This window comes from Homo sapiens, chromosome 1 (assembly GCF_000001405.40).
Source record: "Homo sapiens chromosome 1, GRCh38.p14 Primary Assembly".
Classification (NCBI taxonomy): domain Eukaryota; kingdom Metazoa; phylum Chordata; class Mammalia; order Primates; family Hominidae; genus Homo; species Homo sapiens.
In genome coordinates, this window is record NC_000001.11 from 99,290,510 (window position 1) to 99,311,567 (window position 21,058).

Sequence of the window (21,058 nt, forward strand, 5' to 3'; positions counted from 1 at the left end):
GCTGGAGGCATCACATTACCCAAGTTCAAATTATACTACAGGGCTACAGTAACCAAAACAGCATGGTACTGGTACAAGAACAGAGACATAGATCAATGGAACAGAATAGGAAACCTAGAAATAAGACTGCACACCTACAACTATCTGATCTTTGACAATCCTGACAAAAACAAGCAATAGGGAAAGGATTCCCTATTCAATAAATGATGCTGGGATAACTGGCTAGCCATATGCAGAAAATTGAAACTGGACCCCTTCCTTACACCATATACAAAAATCAACTCAAGATGAATTAAAGACTTACATGTAAAACCCAACACTATAAAAACCCTGGAAGAAAACTTAGGCAGTACCATTCAAGTCATAGGCACAGGCAAAGATTTCATGATGAAGACATCAAAAGCAATTGCAACAAAAGCAAAAATTGAAAAATGGGATCCAATTAAACTAGAGAGCTTCTGAACATCAAAATAAACTTCCAACAGAGTAAAAAGACAACCTACAGAATGGGAGAAAATTTTTGCAAATTATGCATCTAAAAAAGGTCTAATATCTAGCATTTGTAAGAAACTTAAACAAATTTACCAAAAAAAAAAACAATTAAAAAGTGGGCAAAGGACATGAACAGACACTTCTCAAAAGAGGGCATACATGCAGCCAACTAGCATATGATAAAAAAGCTCAACATCACTGATCATTAGAGAAATGCAAATCAAAACGAAAATGACATACTATCTCACACCAGTCAAAATGGCTATTATTAAAAAGTCAAAAAATATTAGATGGTGGTGAGGTTGTGGAGAAAAAGGAACGCTTATACACTGTTGTGGGTTCAACCATTGTGAAAGACAGAGTGGTGATTCCTCAAAGACCTAAAGTCAGAACTACCATTCAACCCACCAATCCCATTACTGGGTATATACCCAAAGGAACATAAATCATTCTATTATAAAGACACATGTACACGTATATTCATTGCAGCACTATTCACAATAGCAAAGACATGGAATCAGCCTAAATGCCAATCAATTATAGACTGGATAAAGAAAATGTGGTACATATACACCATGGAATACTATGCAGCCATAAAAAAATGAAATCATGTCGTTTGCAGGGACATGGATGGAGCTGGAGGCCATTATCTTTAGCAAACTAACACAGGAACAGAAAACCAAACACCACGTGTTCTCATTCATAACTGGGAGTTGAACATTGAGACCACATAGGCACATAGAGGGGAAAGACACATACTGGGGCCTACCTGAGGGTGGAGACTGGGAGGAGGAAGAGGATCAGAAGAAGTAACTAATGGATATGGGGTGTAATACCTGGGTACAACAAATCCCCATGACATGTGTTCACCTATATAACAAACCTGCACATCCTGCACATGTACCCCTGAACTTGAAATAAAAGTTTAGATAGATAGATAGAGTTTATAATATATATAAATTTTATATATATAGATGCTTTAAATGTATCATACTGTCACACCAGAAAGCGCTTATCCTAAAAGTGCTCAAAATTATTATAATTGATATATTTGAATTTGAGATAAATTACTTAACATACTACACAAATGATCATGCCTCTGTTATAAAAACTGTATTGATATGTAATCATTGAAACAATTTCCTTTGTATATATCTAGAAGTCTTTCTCCTCCAGGGTATTTTATCAAGTTGCTAGGAAAGCAAATTTAGTTGTGGCACTCCCTGCCAGCACTATTTATTTCATGTTGCTTCCTTTGCTGACACTGGTACATGTCCTGGGGACAATAACCTTGGTGTCATCACTGTGTGCCTGCTTGTGTTGACTCCTTCTCGTCCTATAATAAATTCTCAATATACAAGTTTGAGATGCTTTCTGAGAGATTTGGCATTAAAACTTTCTTTCTTGAGGCCTGAGAAATAAAAGGGAAAATACACCATGGCTCCCTTCCACCAGGCTGACGTAGGAAGTCCAGTGCCAACTCCTTCCAGAAAGGTGCCACTCAATTCCTGCATCTCCACAGAACCTCCATAGCTGCTGCATGCCTCTTCGTGGAAGGAAAGGCAAACTACGGGACTATTTACACTTCAGGATCCCTGATTTCCCTATATCACTTCAGGATACTCCAAGATGACAGCAATTCTTTCCTACCACACTGGTTTTATAGGTTTTAGGTAACCAACTGGATGGTGAGACAGATTTGACTTTGCTGACATCAAACACTTTGTCACAGCTTTCTCTCCAAACATATACTATACTTCTAGATTTCACTCTACTTTCATTTTTTTTTCTTGGTTTTGAAGGCCTTCTCCCCAAACATACATTTTCTCAGCAGTGATCCTCCAGTGTCTGCAGTCATCTTGTTCTAGAACCATAATTCTATCTCGAATCTTCCTACATATACAGCTATGCTAACTCCTTTCCCTCTCTCTTCCTGAAAGTAAAAATAACAGGCTCTAATTTCTGACTTCAAGGATGCCAGTTTCTTTTCTATCTTTAGGGTGGCATAAGCCTGTTCCAAAAATGGGGTCATGAGAGGGGGTAGGGAGGTAAGCAGAACTCTCCGTTTGGGAATGAGTGTCCAAAAGGACTTGTGTGAGGAGAGCTGACACCCGCCACGTGGAGTGGGGGTAAGGCAAAGCAAAACAAAAGGCCTCGCTTCAGCCAGATTCTCCAAAAGGACCTTCATATGAATAAAAAGATCGGCTGATTTGTATGCAGGAATTTAAATATGAATCATTCAGTATTTGCTTCCCAGATTTTTTTAATGCTTTGAGAGATGTTTAAAAATAACTTGTCTTTGTGATGTTATACATGGAAGTGGAAAAATGTATTTCATTTATGTGAAATGTATATTTTTATTTTTCTGAAATTGCCCTTAAATTGAAAAATTTATTCCTTAATATTCAATTTTCATTTACTTTAGAGTGATAAAACAAGCATTCTGTTTTAGGTTCTTTGGAGATTATTTCTCAGAGAAAACAAGAAAGACTATTTGGGTTTATCACAAATCTTCATGAAGTCTATGTGAACAGAAAAAAAAGGGCGCTTTTTCTTCCTGGAAATACAATTTTATTACACATTGTTAAAGAATTAATATATCTAATTTTATAGAAGAATTCCATCAGAATTTAATTCTAGCTCCTGGAATAGCCTTAGCTTTAGGAGGCTACACAATCAATATGCAGAATATTAGACATGTTAGGGCTTCCAAAAAACATTCATTGAAAATTGAAACATTGAAGATACTATGATGAATACTATAATAATTTTTGTTGTTTTGTTTTACAAGAAAGACTTTTTGGACTGTGAGTTCTCCCTATGATGACTGTTCCATGGCTAGGGTCCTTATAGTACTAAGAAATATATTTCCTCTCAAAATCTCCCCTGAAGTAGTCATTATAATATCTCCTCCCAAAACCTGTCCACAACAACAACAAATTGCGTCCTTTTCAGGGTTGGGTACAGCACAAAACAGAGATTGTGAAAAGATACTTGTTGTAAACTGTTTTCTGTTTACAAATGCAACAGCAACAAATAATTTTCTTATCAGAACCTAAATTCTGACACCATACCTCAGTACAACACTGTGCCATTCAAAAAAAAAAAAGGAGAAATAAGCTGGGCATTTGGAAACGCACTGGGAAACATCTCCCTATACCCTGAGGAGACCTATCTTTATGCCAAATTGAATTATTTTGAAAACTCGTGAATGACATTAGCTGAGGTTAAGTGACAGAAGTGAGTGTGAGGAGAAAATTAATGTCCTGTTTAATGAGAGGGATGGTTGGGTGATGTCAGAATACTGACAAGAAACCTCTATCCATATTACATGGTCTAGACAAATAAGTATTGATGCATTTTCTTTGCATATGAGTTTTGAACATATTCAAACAACTAAAATAAAACTCTTGGCCGGGCGCGATGGCTCATGCCTGTAATCCCAGCACTTTAGGAGGCAGAGGCAGGTGGATCACTTGAGGTCAGGAGTTTGAGACCAGCCTGGACAACGAGGTGAAACCCTGTCTCTACTAAAAATACAAAAATCAGCCAACCTTGGTGGTGCATGCCTATATTCCCAGCTACTTGGGAGGCTGAGGCGGGAGAATGGCTTGAACCCAGGAGGCGGAGGTTGCAGTGAGCCAAGATCACACCATTGCACTCCAGCCTGGCCTGCAGAGCAAGACTCAGTCTCAAAAAAAAAAAAAAAAAACTCCTGAAATCTCAAGGTCTCAAGCTCATTTGAGATAATGACTATTGTATTGTATGACAAAACACACTTTTCTATACAGATAAATTCTTATGTAATTCAACACTCATGGACAAGATGTAATCATTACAAATATAATTATACAGAGAGAAAAAAAATTATTCACAGAATTTTTATTGAAGAAGTGAAGGTGAAATTAACCTCTTTTAGCTGAATACAATACATTTCAAGAATAAGTGGTTAATTTTCTGGAAATGATGAATTTGAGGTAGCAGTTATATTATTCTGTGTAATTGTTGTACTATGTTGTATCTGTCTACACAGAGTATAGAACCTATTGAATTTCTATGTCTAACTTGAAGTGCTAATGTAGGACTATATTTTTCAAAAAGTATAAATGGTTAACTCAGCATCCAATGGTTTGAAATGAATTACTTTTGATTATTTCTATAATGATTGATCTTAAAATAGTTTATTATGCCACATGATTTTCACACATATGGTTATAGGTAGAGTTCTACTATGATAATTACTCTTTAAATTTTTAATACAAAGTAAGATTCTCTATAATTAAACATGTACCATATTCCCTACAGAAGTAAATATAGCAATTTAAGCATTCAAAGCAGAAGGCCATAGGCTTGCTGTCATTAGATTTTTTAAAAAAAACTATAATTTTGAACACTTCATAAAATAAATGTTAAGCTAGTAATGACAACTGAGAGGTTTTCTATGGAAAACCTGTTTCAGTCCAAATCAGGTTTATAGTATTTACAGTGACATGATTAGTTGTATTTAACAGACTGTTAGTATCTCATTTAAGAGACTGCTTGTATCTCATTAATTGTACTTTCCTCAGCTCCACGCATTTATAGCAAATCAATATTTAATTTCACAACAATCTTTTAGGCACAATTATCTCAAATATTTGAAAGACTTTTTCATGAATAAAATGGATAATTTTAAATCTTGCTTCTGTTGTACAGAATAATTGACAACCCAACGGCCTAAGGTAGTTAGCAAATGTGAGTCCCACAGTAAAAGCCAAAAATGCAATTCTCACCGTGCCAGGCACTGTGCTTGACAAGTGAAGGTGAAAGGTAAATAAGAAATGGTTCTTCCCTCAGAGGGCCCTAGTCTAGTGAGAGACAGCCAAATGAACAATTTCATAAAGCTATGCTAGAGGGAAGGATAAGATGCTAAGGGAGCCACATAGACGGAGATGTGATTCAATTTAGGGTACAGTAAGAGGTTTCAAAGAAAACTTACTGAGGGAAATCATGCCTAAATCATACTGAGTTCCTTCATTGATCTCACAGGTCCTAAAATCCTGCAGCAAAGTGCCATGTTCCTTATCTTAAGAGAGTCCTCTTGATACTACTGTATGACATTGTGAATACATTGTTTAGATGTCTATATCTAGGAAATACTACCCTTCTGACCTAGATTCTCTTGTAATCTTCATTCTCTGATAAGATAGCCACTAGCCACCTGTGGCCACTTCATTTTATATTTAAGTGTATTTAATTTTTAAATAATTAATACAATGGCATAAGATTAAAAATTCAGCTACTCATTTGCAGTAGCTATATTTCAAGTGATCAATACCTACATATGGGTAGTGGCTACTGTACTGGACAGTGCAAAGTATAGTTCCATCATTGCAGAAATATTTATGGGACAGCTATGCTATAGAAAGCACCTTTCTACACTCACATACTTTCCATGGATTGATCCTTCTGCTCAATCCCAAATTGGTTTATGGACCTAATCTGCTGGTAAAATGTTCCAGTACATGAGAGTCCAGAAGACCCTACAAAATCTCATTAGAGTGGCCTGATTACTTACTTCTCACTGCTTGATCAAATTCTCAGAAGAAATTGCTGTGCCTCTACAGCTTTTAAGAAAATTTACATCTTTACTTTATTGAATTGATATGTTAAAAAGTGATATATAATTCCTTTATACCTGTTGGCTTAATAGGTATTCCAACATGCCTCTTCCTGAATACCCTTCTATCTTTGCAGATTATGGTAGGAGAAGGAATTCTCTACTGTTGCCTCTCCAAAAGAAGAAATGGGGTCGGACTAGAGCCCAACATTAATGCTGGAGGCTGCAACTTCAATTCCTTCCTCAGACGAGCTGTCAGATTCGTTGGTGGGTGTGGGGAACCACAAAGAAAAGAAATGCTTTTTTTTTTATATTGAAATGTTATATTTAATTATAGATATTAAGTCTCGTACGCTATAATTTAGATGTATAATTTCAGTACATGATGAGTTTTATATTGTACAAGAAACTGTTAAAACACCAAAATTTGGGTTTTGTATCTGAAATGTGTTATTTACAGTTGTAGCCCTTGTTTTGAGAGCTAATATGCCATGTGTTTCAATTTATTTTTGCCTTAGCTCTGGTTGAAGTATGAATTTATTTTAAAATGGTTTCACTGGATCTGTGGTCAGTTTTTCAAAATGGAGAACAAACGTCAGCAGGCCAGAATGAATAGACAACTCTTCAGGAATTACTTTAGCCACATTAATGATTCCATTTCAATTGTCCTGGAGTGTTTCCATCCAGAAGTTACTACACTTTGAAATGTCACTATTGAGTACTGCATCATGGCCATTTTTCCTTGGTTGTAGCCCCTAATGTTACCTTTCATCTTTTATGAGACCTATAGAAAATCTATAGACCTGGCTACCAGCATCTGAATCAAACCAGTTTTCAAACCTTCATCTCTTCTGCTTAGCATTGGACCATCCTAATGTTGTTCCAGTCATAGGTCTTTTATTTTTTTAATATAGTTGAATAGTCACACACAATACATCACACTAACCTGAATGTTTTCTATTCATTCCCAATAAGTCCGCATAAAGTTATTTTTACCTGTAACATGTAAGCTCAAAATAATTGATGGCTTTGCTTAATCCCTAGTAGATAATTATACACAAATTTCTTTCCCACAAGAGGAAAAATCAGGTCTAACTCATGCCCCAGACTCTGCTCCACTAAGCATTTTCTTACCATCACATTGAGATGATAAGAAAACAATAGACAGCTTAACAGCATCGCAAACTCAGGCAAGGAAATAAAACTCCAGGACATGTAGCTGCACACAGAGAAAATATTCCCTAATGTAACAAAATACTCTGGACAAAGGGCCACATACCCTCTCTCGACTGGAAGGATGATCCATTCTACCCTAGAGAACAATGTTCCAGAGCCTGCATCAGCGACAGGTCTAGAAAGTCCATTATCCAAAGGAAAAAGTAAGTCTTTGCATGCTTCTAGGAATTAGAATGTAGAAATAAAGTTTCTGTGTCATGAATCCCAGGTGTGTGGGTGGAGAAGCAATTGGAGGAATGGTGGTTAGGTGACAGTAAGCAGTGAAGAAAAATGTAAAACAGGGTAATGTGCAAGCCAGCACTCTTGGTCTGGAGGCGGTGACTGAAGAATTACCCTGGTCCTCTCATAATGATTTCTATGAGCAACTCATGAATCAGAATGCAAGCTGTCAAGTCAGAATGAATCTAGGGTGACAAGAAAACCTAGAGTGAGAAAGTTCCAGATCATGTGCCTGTGAGCAGAGAGCTGGACTCCCAAAGATAAGGCCAAGCAAACAACTTCAAGCAGGCATGGAGTTTGCATGTACAAGTGCAAGGATTTTTTTATTTCATGGTTTAAAATTGGTCCTAGGAGAAACAGAAAAAATAATTTGGACCAAGATATGTAAGAACATCGTGTCCAAATTCCAAACACACACGTGGGCTCCCCACATTCGTGTACCTAGGATACGATTGTCATTTCCACGTTAGGGCCTGTCTGACTTCTTCTCTGTTTTAATTAGCATTCCTAGTATGATCACAGCTTGAAGAGAATTAGAATGGATTCTGTAGGGTGTGATAACTGTGGCTAGTGTTAGAGACCATCAGGGAGAAATAACCCTGGCAACTTAAAAACGCTAAGCAAATTAAAACTACTTTAAATTTTTCTTCATTCCACACATGTCGTCGCTCTCAAATAATACCTTAGCATGTTCCAAGTGTCTTGACAAGTGACTTACAGTTAATGTTAAGAATTGGCACTTTATCACCAAATTAACAAAAGTGCCTAAAGTTACTACTTTGGAGATACTCATTGCCTTTATTTTGGACTTAAGTATCTGTTTAGAAGTTTAGGAATTTTCTATACTGTCTTCTTGAAATCAACTTAGAGAAAATGAACACAATAGATTTTAAGATCTTAATTCACTAATGTTTAATGAATATGTTTGATGCTGACACAACCACCAACTTGGTAACAATTTCTTTCATTTTGCCTATAGGTGTTCATGTATTTGGATTATGCTCTACAGCTCTCATTACAGATATCATACAGCTGTCCACAGGATATCAAGCACCTTACTTTCTGACTGTGTGCAAACCAAACTATACCTCTCTGAATGTATCTTGCAAAGAAAATTCCTACATTGTGGAAGATATTTGCTCAGGATCTGACCTCACAGTTATCAACAGTGGCAGGTTAGAAACAGATCTAAAAACACTCTGCATCATTGTTTTCATTATTCAATTGCTGCTTGGAGTATCACTTTAAGCATGCCTCTTTCAGTCATAATGATTTTGTTTTTATTTTTCTTTTCAATTCAATGATCTCTTCAATTACTAAACCATAGAAACTCATTGGGGGCTTATTCCAAATTCTTCTCTATGTCTCCAAATTTCAGCCTCACATTTTTGCTACTAGTCCCTATTTCACCAAACTCCACCATGTTTTGTGATCAATCCTATACTCATTATGGTTTTAGGTTACTATAAATGGTTTATTTCAGAATATTTACAGTCAGTCATGGCTGGCAGTCAATATAACTCTTGTACTGGTTTAAAAACTAAACACATATGAAAGTTATATCTCCATTATATGTTCCATAAAAAAAATGTGAATTTTCCTTTTTGTAAAGTTTGAGGAGGGGTAACATCTAAGATTGCATATGTTTTCTTTGAATCAGATCTAACTCATGCCCCAGACTCTGTGACATAATTTCATTCATTCTTTGAATGAACCCGGGTGTGCATAGCTTCTGGCCTTACATGTCAGAAAATAAAGGAAACTCAAGAAATTACCAATGCATTACATTTCTTAATAAATAAAGCAAAAATAAACTTACATGACAAGAGATAGTAGTTTACAGTCTCAAAAGAAATAAATTGCAGAGGGATAAGGGCCAATCAATTATTGAAAGAATTGAATTTTCCATTCAATAAGTTGCCAAATATTGACTAAAGAGTCAAAAATAAGTTAATAGGTACACCTGAATAATTAAAGCCTGATGTTATGTGATTATACACATTAAGGTTCTCATGTATCATTCAATAATTTTGGATCTACAGTCAAGACCTATGTCCTCTATTTTTTTCTCAGTCCTATTACATTAACTTATCTCTGTTGAATGGGGATCTTGTTTATCATGGTACCAAATAATTAGGAAGGCACTAATTTAAGTGAATTTTATTTTTTCTAATTTTTTAATTCATTGAAACAAATCTCTATTCTTCTTTTGCCTGCCCTTTTCAGAGTCTCTTCACTATCTTTGCCTGCTCTTTAAACTGTTTAAATAAGATGATCTATAATTCTTGAGATGAAATTATTGTAAAGTGTACTACATTTTGTTAATTTTGTAGAGAAACATTTTGTTAAAATTAGACTTTTCTTATGCTTTCTAGAGTATTAACAAAACACATTTAGATCCAATGCCATGAGAAAATAACTTCATTTTTTAAAATTTTTATGTAAATAAAACAATGTGTTTAGGAGCATAGAAAAAGTTTAAAGCTTTAAACCCCTAGGTTTTATGAGCTGTTACTTAGAACTGGTATAATTCTTACACCAAAGAACAATGATGTTTTCCAATCCATTTTTACTTCAACCATCCTTCTAGTGATGTAATGAAGTGGCCCCTTGCCAAGCTAGCAGTTTTTTATACTGGAAACTACATCACTACTATTTGTTAATATTAATGGTGATTAGCAGCATTTATTTTATCACTAAGGTCTTTCACCAGAAAGCTGGACAGAAGGTAAAATTATTGCTTATTGCCTTGTGACTTTTAAGTTGAACATTTTAACCACTCAGTGTCTTTGAGATGATTGCTAGCAGTGTATCTGAACTACAAGGCATAATTTGACTATCTTCTTTTGGCAGAAAGTCCTTCCCTTCTCAACATGCAACCCTTGCTGCCTTTGCAGCTGTGTATGTTTCGGTAAGTAACTGGTTCTTTTTTGTTAAGTTGTGTTCTACAGAAAATCTGAGGAATGAATGTTGTCTCCAGGTGACTAATTGGATGATATAACCATGTAATAACAGAATGGTAAATTTAGCACTGCAGCCTTTCAATACAATGGCATCCAAAGCAGAAATCAAACACTACTATAAAAAATAGTACAGTAAAAGAATTTTTCTACACAGTTATAATAGTATTTATTTATTCTGGTATCCCTTTAATATTATACTTCATAGGAGGATATTGTGAATTATAGGAATGTTACAAAACTTGAAAGAATCACAATAAGTACCCACAAAGACATACAACGTGCACACACACACACACACACGTACGCTACTTTAGTATTTCTGTAACAATAAGTTTTAGGTCAGTGTAAATTTAGAAATGTTGTACAATGAATAGTCATTTTATCTAATTTGTACAATAGTCCGTGAAGTCTTTCCTGAGAAAAATGAGCGAAATTATACGACAAGTAACATGGAGACTAAACAGTTAAATGGTTAACTCTACTGTTTTGGTATTTTTCCAACTTTCATGTAATTAATTTGTTATTTATTTGATAAATTTCATCATGCATATCCCTTCTTGGCAGGCACAGAACATAGCCATAGGAAGAGGGGGTGAAACAGTAAAACTGAAGTCAATTGTATCAGACTTTTAACTTTTATTTGATTATAATTTACTAATAAAATGGCCTTTCTAACATACTTAACCCATTTCTTCCATTTTTAAGATGTACTTCAATTCCACATTAACGGATTCCTCTAAGCTTCTGAAACCTCTCTTGGTCTTCACATTTATCATCTGTGGAATAATCTGCGGGCTAACACGGATAACTCAGTATAAGAACCACCCAGTTGATGTCTATTGTGGCTTTTTAATAGGAGGAGGAATTGCACTGTACTTGGTAAATAAGTTACTATTATCTTATAAGCCAAAGTTTAAAATGGAAAACATGCATAGAATATTTTGCACTATAATAGCTTCCTTGCGATATATTTTATATAAATGAGAAAATCTCTGGCCGCATCTCCATTCTATGCCAAAACACATATCTCACTTTCAACAAAATCATTTATTGAACTCTTACTATGAGCCAGAAATTGTAATTTTAGAAAGATTTCTGAATTTTGTCTTTATGCCAACCAAACAGGAGGTGGGCAGGGACTACTATTACTACTATAATTATAATGCTACAGATGAGGAAAGTGATTATTGCCAAAAGTAAGGTTAGTGAAAGCAAAAATTTAGTTAAAGGTTATATAACTTGCCCCACACCACAAATTTAGCACCTGAATGTAACTGTGATCCAACTAATACTGACTTCTTTAACACTACTCTTTTTTCAAGCCTGGTCCCCCTCTAAGGGAAATATCCTCAGCATAAGGAAACTGAGATTGTCCATTTCATTTTGTCATGCATGCATGCATTCATGCATTTTACATTTATTCAATATCTATTCCGTGCCAGGGATTATACTGAACATTGTAACACTGAGAAATGAGATGTATTCTTTTTTTTATTATTATTATTATTATTATACTTTAAGTTTTAGGGTACATGTGCACAATGTGCAAGTTAGTTACATATGTATACATGTGTCATGCTGGTGTGCTGCACCCATTAACTCGTCATTTAGCATTAGGTATATCTCCTAAAGCTATCCCTCCCCCCTCCCCCCACCCCACAACAGTCTCCAGAGTGTGATGTTCCCCTTCCTGTGTCCATGTGTTCTCATTGTTCAATTCCCATCTATGAGTGAGAACATGCGGTGTTTGGTTTTTTATCTTTGTGATAGTTTACTGAGAATGATGATTTCCAATTTCATCCATGTCCCTACAAAGGACATGAGCTCATCATTTTTTATGGCTGCATAGTATTCCATGGTGTATATGTGCCACATTTTCTTAATCCAGTCTATCATTGTTGGACATTTGGGTTGGTTCCAAGTCTTTGCTATTGAGATGTATTCTTCAGAAGTTTACAATGTAAAGACTAACATAAATATAAATGGTTACAACATGTTAAACGATATAACAGGGTATGAACAAAGTATTTTAGGAATAGCAAACTGCCTGAGGAAGTTAGAAAAGACGTCACAAAAGTGATGTGTATGTGTGTAGCTGTTGTTGTTGTTGTTGTTTTTAATGGGAGTTCCATGGGGTAAAGAAAGAAGGGAGGGCATTCAAGAAGAAGAAACTACATATGCAAAGAGACAGGTATCTGAAAGAGCAAGTGGAAGTGGAAGGTGGGGGAACAGGAGGAATGAGACATAATGGCCAGGTTTCCAGCATGGAACACTGGACAGATGATGACTTCATTAGCAGACCAGGTAAATGACAGATGAAGCAGATTTGTGGGGTAAAGGGAGTTGAGGGGATCAATTGAATCAATAAGCAGTTAAGTAGTTGCTTCTGGAATTCAAAAGAGCAATCAGTATTGGAGAAGGATATTTAATGGAAGTACCATTGTAGTTACTACGGTTATATAAAACTGCCAGGTCATAAAAATAAAAGGTAGCCAGGGAATACCAATAAACAAGTGACATGCGGAGGAAAAGGCAATAATGAAAGAAACTGAGAAGAGCTGACAGAAGTAAAAATAAATTATCTGTAGCTACAGTTCTCAATCATGTGGTCTTAGTGCCCTTGGAAAGGCATTACAAGAAAATTATTACCAAAATACAGGTAAAGTACTGAAGTGTGCTATAATTTTATAAGTTTTTTTATTTTCATAAACAGGCACAGTCAAGATTGTCACTTTAAAAGTTATTCTCACTCGCATGCATTCTTCACTGCAGGAGAAAGGGATCAAATTAAAATTGGTGTGCCAGGAATTGTGCATAAGCCTGGGTTGCCCATGGGAGTGTTAGTTGGCAATGTGCATTGCAGAAGAAATAAAGGAGACTGGAAATGCCACTCTCTAGTTTATGTATTGCTTTTGCATGTGTGTCATTTCATGATGTCCTGGAATTAGCATGGGATTTATAGTGCAAAGGATTTGGTTATGAATCCAAATTTTCCTCCACTTAGCCAAGTTACACAGCTTTTCAGAAGCCTGTTTCTTCACCTACAAAATAAAGATACTAACTCTCTGTCCCATGTCATAACAAGAATTAAACAACTACAGACATGTGTCACATAATGATATTTTGGTCAACCATGGACCCCATATATAATACCATGGTGATCCCATAAGATTAGAGTACTGAATTTTTTCTATATGTTTTCTATATTTAGATATGCAAGTGCTTACCATTGTGTTACAATTCCCTGGAGTATTCAGTATAGTAACACACTGTAGGATTTTGTAGCCTAGGAGCAATAGGCTGTACCATAGAGCCTAGGTGTGTGGGAAGCTATACCATCTAGATTTGTGTAAGTGAACTTTATGATGTTCACACAATGACAAAATCACCTGTCAATGCATTTCTTAGAATGTATCCCTGTCATTAAATGACACATGGCTGTACTTGTATGGAGAGCTTATAGTTTAGTGGAGGATCTTCCCCAACTTACAAATTTAAGTACAATTATTAATAGAACATGAGTTAGGGATTGCTCATTCTGGTGAGAGCATAGACAGATATTTAGAAGATGGTTTCAACCAGGAATTAAAATACTTGAAGAGGCAGGAGCTTGGCTTTATTTCATTTCTGTCTGTACTCTTGCCCTGAAATTGGAAAATTTTCAGTTCTAAGCCAATGCTTTGTTCATTGTTAAGCATTCTATAAAATGTTAAATCAATATTTTTTTGTTTTGAACTTGAATAGTAGACAGTGGTTACCGCCTTTTGAAATTAGCACACAAACAGGTGTCTGCTGCTTGATTTTTTATCTCTAATACCAAGTATCTCAAAAACTGAAAGTCCAGCAGGGATTAGATCTTCTATGTGCCAAAAGGGTAATGATTTTGAGTCTGAACTTTAGCCTTTTTCCAAATTTTTGCTTCCCAAATCTAAAACAAACAAAAAAAGATACACTGTGTATGAAGACAAAATTAAATAAAATCTGGCTCACATTTAGTGCAATGGTACTAAATTGATCAAATAGTATTTCCCAATTTATGACCAAGTTTAAATCAGGAAAGAATCTAGGTGCCCCAATCTGGCGATGGTTTTTGCCCTGTCTTCCAAGAACACCCTGTACAATGCTGAACACACAAGGCTGTAGTCAGTGCGAGTCGTAATAACATATGTCTCCGACCTTCTTTCAAAACCAGATATCATTTTTTATAAATGATATATTGTTCTATATTTTGTACACTTCTTCTACTTTCCATCATATGATTGAAAATGGAAGGTAAAATAAATCATTTAAGCCATTTGAGATGTCACGCAACAAGAAGTTCCTAAATCCAGAAAAATGAATTGCTTTGAAAAGCAGAAAAAAAGTCCTTATTTCTCTCTTGTCTGCTTTTTCTTCTGAAAATATACACAGGATAAGATAGACAAAAACATCCAGTAGGATGGAGAAAAGAATGGGGTTCACATTGCTGAGCAATTCATGCAGCGATTTATGATATAACTTACAAAGTATTTCCCTGCAAAAATATAGTTTTCATGTTTCATTATTTGTACTAGTCAATGGTGTATAGGAAGCATATACCTATGTATGTACTTCAGTGGGTACTCTAAGGAAACCCTAGTGACTGTCTTCTAGTGCATGATATTTATTGCTTTCTCTCAAACACTAGGGCTTGTATGCTGTGGGGAATTTCCTGCCCAGTGATGAGAGTATGTTTCAGCACAGAGACGCCCTCAGGTCTCTGACAGACCTCAATCAAGATCCCAACCGACTTTTATCTGCTAAAAATGGTAGCAGCAGTGATGGAATTGCTCATACAGAAGGCATCCTCAACCGAAACCACAGAGATGCTAGCTCTCTGACAAATCTCAAAAGAGCAAATGCTGATGTGGAAATCATTACTCCACGGAGCCCCATGGGGAAGGAGAACATGGTTACCTTCAGCAATACCTTGCCGCGAGCCAATACCCCATCTGTAGAAGACCCTGTCAGAAGAAATGCGAGCATTCATGCCTCTATGGATTCCGCTCGATCAAAGCAGCTCCTCACCCAGTGGAAGAATAAGAATGAAAGTCGAAAGTTGTCCTTGCAAGTTATAGAGCCTGAGCCTGGGCAGTCACCACCCAGATCCATAGAAATGAGGTCAAGCTCAGAGCCATCGAGGGTAGGGGTGAATGGAGACCACCATGGTCCTGGCAATCAGTACCTCAAAATCCAGCCTGGCGCTGTCCCCGGATGTAACAACAGCATGCCTGGAGGGCCAAGAGTGTCCATTCAGTCCCGTCCTGGGTCCTCACAGTTGGTGCACATCCCTGAGGAGACTCAGGAAAACATAAGCACCTCCCCCAAAAGCAGCTCTGCTCGGGCCAAGTGGTTAAAAGCTGCTGAAAAGACTGTGGCCTGTAACAGAAGCAACAGCCAGCCCCGAATCATGCAAGTCATAGCCATGTCCAAGCAGCAGGGTGTCCTCCAAAGCAGCCCCAAGAACACTGAAGGCAGCACGGTCTCCTGCACTGGCTCCATCCGCTATAAAACCTTGACAGACCATGAGCCCAGTGGGATAGTGAGGGTTGAGGCTCACCCAGAGAACAACAGGCCCATCATACAGATCCCGTCCACTGAAGGTGAAGGCAGTGGCTCCTGGAAGTGGAAAGCCCCTGAAAAGGGCAGCCTTCGCCAAACTTACGAGCTCAACGATCTCAACAGGGACTCAGAAAGCTGTGAGTCTCTGAAAGACAGCTTTGGTTCTGGAGATCGCAAGAGAAGCAACATTGATAGCAATGAGCATCACCACCACGGAATTACCACCATCCGCGTCACCCCAGTAGAGGGCAGCGAAATTGGCTCAGAGACGCTGTCCATTTCTTCTTCCCGCGACTCCACCCTGCGGAGAAAGGGCAATATCATTCTAATCCCTGAAAGAAGCAACAGCCCCGAAAACACTAGAAATATCTTCTACAAAGGAACCTCCCCCACACGGGCTTATAAGGATTGAGTGATGTCCATTCCATCATTAGGGCTACTCGCAAAAGACCATATGTTGATTCTACCTGTGTTCTGTTCCAGCGAATTGGGAAGTCTCACCAAGCTAGATTGTCTACCATCAGCCCAGAACTCTGTAACTTTTCAGAACTGCTATACTCAAACTTGCAGATCTCACATCAAGGAGAGGGAAAAGCACAATGCAAGAACCTAACTAACGTGATGATATGAAGAGTTTTCTTAAGACCTGTCGTCAAACTTAAAAGGTTTTGCAGAGGGCAGTATCAAAAGAAAGTGGTTTTCTTCAAATGTATACTATTTTACTTCCTGAATGTGCCAACTTTGGGGATTTTTCTTTATAGTGAGCTGTGGGAACCCAGAACACACACGTTTTCCCTACAGCAGAGGCCATGCAGTATTATATATTCATTTTGCAGAATCTGCACCTACAGCTCAATACGGGTGGTGCTGATTATTATAGTACATATACCATGTAAACTCTCAAACTCTATTTAGCTGTGAAATAGTGGTGTGCAATTCCTTGTTAAAGAAATGCTACTTTATTAAGAAGATGCTGGCTGCTTTGTGTTAGAATAGGACACCCCGCAGCTTCTCTGTAGTGGCTCTGTCACAGTCAAAAAATGAAAAGGTTTTTGTGCGTTTCTTCAAAATTCTGCTTTCTTCAACATCAAAAATTGTGTAGAAATATTTTCAGTGAAAGGGAATAACTAGTACTTTTCTGCATAGTTTTTCTTCTGCTTACTTTTTATTTAAGTATAGGTACTGCTAATGAATCTGTTTTCTTAGTGAGTAAATTTGCATAATTTTATAAATATTATTTTAGAGAATCTTTTGAAATTGTTGTGATCATATTTTGCTTTCTATGGCTTCTCCTTAACTTATTGATTAATTTTTTGAAGTTATAGATATGTTCTCCTATTTTAAAAGCAAAAATAACAATTGACATTCCTTGAGCAAAATATACTGCTGTGAATTTGCAAACAAGAAATCTGAGCCAAAACTTGACATTGTGGGTTACATTGCCAGAAATGTTGGTCAAGTTTGCCCTTAGATGTCTACAACTAGCTGGCATAGGTTGCCATCTTAACAAGTAATCTAAAAGTCCCATTCGGTTCTACATTATTAACTTTTTTTTTCTATATCCTGATGACCAGTAAATTAGAGCCACACTGGTTAAGTTTGACTCGTCTCTAAAACGTTTTTGTTAATTGGACACCAAGAGGAAGAATCTGAAAAAAAAATGCATGTTGGTAAGTAAAAGTATCTCACGGTACAAATTAAGAATGACTTTCTTCAAAATATCTGAATAGGTGCAGTTTTAGTTTAACATGCAAACAACCATTGTTGCTACCTATCCTGAATCAAGCCTTGAGCCTAAATCAAAGCAAACCAATACCATTGATAAGAAGAAGATAAAAACAAAATATTTTGGAGTGTTTTCCAACTTAAAGTATGAAGACATACTCAGTTCTTGGAACTTAGTATTAAACCTTTTTTATGCCATTTCATAAGAATTCCGATATATACTTGATGATTGCCAAGGGGATGAAAGGAAACAACAGAGATGGTTGATCTGATCTTAGCTCACTTTCCAATAACAGAAGGAGTTGTTTACAGATGAATAGTATCACATCATTATCAATTTCCACATGAAAAAGGTGGAGCTTTCTAGAAAAACCAACCTCTAAGGCATTAGGAATTTAGCTGAAACCAGCAGAATTGAAAACTCTGGCAATAAAACATGGACTCAACCATATCCCTTCTGGCAATTTCCTTCTCAGAGAGGGGAGTGGGAATAAAATGTTGCCTTCCCCACTTCTCACCACCACCGCCATCATGACGCTCATACTGGCTTTTGCCTGTTTGTAGAGGAAAAGGTGGGCTGGTTTTAGTACTCTGAAGGACAAAAACAAGCAAACAAAAACCCCTGCTGCAGCATTTCAGGTGCAGTATGATATTTCCTAATCTTTCCTATTTCTTAACAAAAGATTTTAAAGTACTTCTCTAGTCATTGAAGTTTTTTTTTCTTTACATAAATATTGATATATTCTTTTTCTACTCAAAGTGCCAAAGGCTACAGTTTTTAATGACTTAACAAATTGTACCACATTGTTAAGGACATATAATGATAGACACTAGAACTCAGACCTCTGCATGTATATTTGATAACATGTCTTTTGTAAAACAAAAATTACAAAAAAATTTGTTTACATTCCACTGGTACCTTAATTTAAAATAAATCAGACTAAAAGGTGGTATCTCTTCTTAGTGTTCTATTTATCTTATTTGCTAATGGGAGCACTTCTTCCTTTGTTAGGCTGTGCTTTACTGATAAAACCAAGTATTGAATAAAGAGAGTTAATTATCTTTTTAAAGTAAATAAAATTATGAAAATATATATAGTATATATAAAGTACTGTGTTTAAAAAAATGTTATGCAATGTTTTCCAAACTGATAAAGTTTGTAAAGTGCTATAAATGTATTTTGTTAAGTACAGATAAAAGCTATTGTGTGAGTATATTGTGCTAAAATCATAGAAATAAAGATTAGATTTCTTCATCAAAATTGGAATAGTTTGGTTTTTACTTCAGAGTCTGAATAGATAATAGCTTGGCTTGTAGGAAAATAACTGAGGAAATAAGAAAAAATCAGAATTGATTAAATTCATAATTGTTTAGGAATGGGTTACAACTAAGAAAGAAAAGTTTCTCAATCTATGACATGTTTTCTTATTGTTAGAATTTTCTTTTATGCTTATTAAAGGAGCTCTTTTATACTTTACACATATTTTTGCATATCAATGTTACAGTGTATGAAAAAGAAAATATGAAGGACTTGACTAAGAGTAGTTGATGTACTTATTTTCCCAAACAGTAGAGACCTTTATGTCATCATGGCCATTGGCGTTGCAGCTTTTCTTAAAAGAATGCTTCACCATTAACTCCACGATATTCTTTCAAGCCATTAAGGCTCATTATATTAATTTTACTGCTGATGATTTGTACATCTCACTGGAAGGTATTAGCACAAGTTTTTAGACCACAACCAGAACTTAGGATTTACTCAAATGGTCCTAAGGAGTTTGTTGAATGATATGTGAAGTTACAAACATCCAGTAATGCCACCAAGTTCATGTAGCTGTCCAATTGCAACAAAGTTCATACATACCAGGCAACAACATCACAATCACTACCTGGCCAACAGCCAATGTAAGATACTATTGATTGTAGGAAACACCCTGGTTTTAGAGAAGTTAACATGTGAAAAAACAATGTGTATCTTATATAATGGGTGAAATACAGTTTCTCTAGGTCTTTAAATTAAACTTCTCTAGGTCTTGATTTTTTCATTTCTAAAATGGAGACATTCAGCCATATTTCCCTTCTAAAGGATGTCCTAAAGTTCTCAATTTCTATGGATTATCATTATGTATTTTATCCAATGAGCAAAAACTGGTAAGAAAATAGGAAATAACTTGATGATCTAAAATAACTAACTAATTAGTATTGCCATCTTTGACTACAAGGTTAATAGAAGCAAGCCAACTGGGGCTGCTGAAAGCCTACATCAACTATTTCACCACATAACATATCAAAACAGGTGACCTGTATACGTATACCCCTAGTCCTAGTACCTTTCTCATGAGGCAACAGTTGAGTAGATTCTTGGTTATTATACACCTAGGAAGCTATCATTAAGGGCCCTGCTATTTCTGTCTTTTATAGGTCAAGTCTTTACTTGATCTCTATGGGTAATTTCATATTACAGGTCAAAGGGAAAATGAATATGTATGCATGATTCAGAGAGTAATGTAATTAATATAAATGAAAAAATCAAAATGAATTAAGATGATTTAATCTAAAAAAACAACAACCATGACTTGGAAAATTGTCAAAGGCCTGTCTGTGATTGGATATTTCATTTCCTCTGCTTAAATATGTTTCTGCCTTTATTCTGTAAGAAGATTCTAAAATGCCCTAGGATCAAATATTCCCATTTGAAGAAAGCATATATTTCAGTAATAGTATATAGATTGCAAGTAAGATCTATTTATAGAAGATCCCCATTGACGATGCTTTCAAGTTGAAAGAACATTTAGATAAGCCATTTGATATAGAAGTGACTTTTATTTCACGGTCAAAACAATTATCAGCCAAAGAAAGTTCCTAATTTTGTGTATTTGTGCACCACAGTAAATGACAAGTGAAACTATAGTTCTGCCACCAATTCTACTTCACGAACTTGAATGCCCTTTTCATCTCCTTTACTCCCCTACCTTAAGATTCTGTCATTGCCTATGAGAAAAATGTATCTAAATTCTAAAGTTACATTTTCAAAATGGTACAACTGACCATTAGATAAATGAGTTTGAAGAAGAGAAAATATGAAAATTGCATTTGTATAAAATCTCATTTTCTATTTATCACTTTGTATGCCTGGCTACTTCCTTATAAGAATGAGAGAAAGGAAGTCAAGGATAAGCCTCTTTGTCTTTAAAAAGATGACATAAGGCCAGGCATGGTGGCTCACGCCTGCAATCCCAGCACT

General features: G+C 36.1%; 1 protein-coding gene across 3 annotated transcripts in view, besides 1 other annotated feature; it reads left to right on the plus strand.

Annotated features, from left to right (window-relative positions):
* PLPPR4 (phospholipid phosphatase related 4) overlaps positions 1-19,075 on the plus strand; it is a 46,661-nt gene extending 27,586 nt beyond the window's left edge. For 2 of the 3 annotated variants that reach the window (XM_011542498.3, NM_014839.5), the window contains exons 3-7: positions 6,229-6,358; positions 8,526-8,721; positions 10,400-10,457; positions 11,215-11,388; positions 15,176-19,075. In XM_011542498.3, the coding sequence (XP_011540800.1) occupies positions 6,229-6,358; positions 8,526-8,721; positions 10,400-10,457; positions 11,215-11,388; positions 15,176-16,501 (1,884 nt within the window). In that variant the 3' untranslated portion in view covers positions 16,502-19,075. The remainder of the gene's footprint in view (positions 1-6,228; positions 6,359-8,525; positions 8,722-10,399; positions 10,458-11,214; positions 11,389-15,175) is intronic. The other variant, NM_001166252.2, reaches the window with a different exon arrangement.
* Positions 14,722-15,921: an enhancer, noted in NCBI's record as "CDK7 strongly-dependent group 2 enhancer chr1:99770787-99771986 (GRCh37/hg19 assembly coordinates)". NCBI's record gives its function as "activates an origin of replication core promoter dependent on BRD2, BRD4, P300/CBP, MED14 and CDK7 cofactors, with strong dependence on CDK7, by STARR-seq in HCT116 cells {active_cell/tissue: HCT116}" and the evidence as "EXISTENCE:reporter gene assay evidence [ECO:0000049][PMID:35650434]".
* Positions 19,076-21,058: the final 1,983 nt, after the last annotated feature.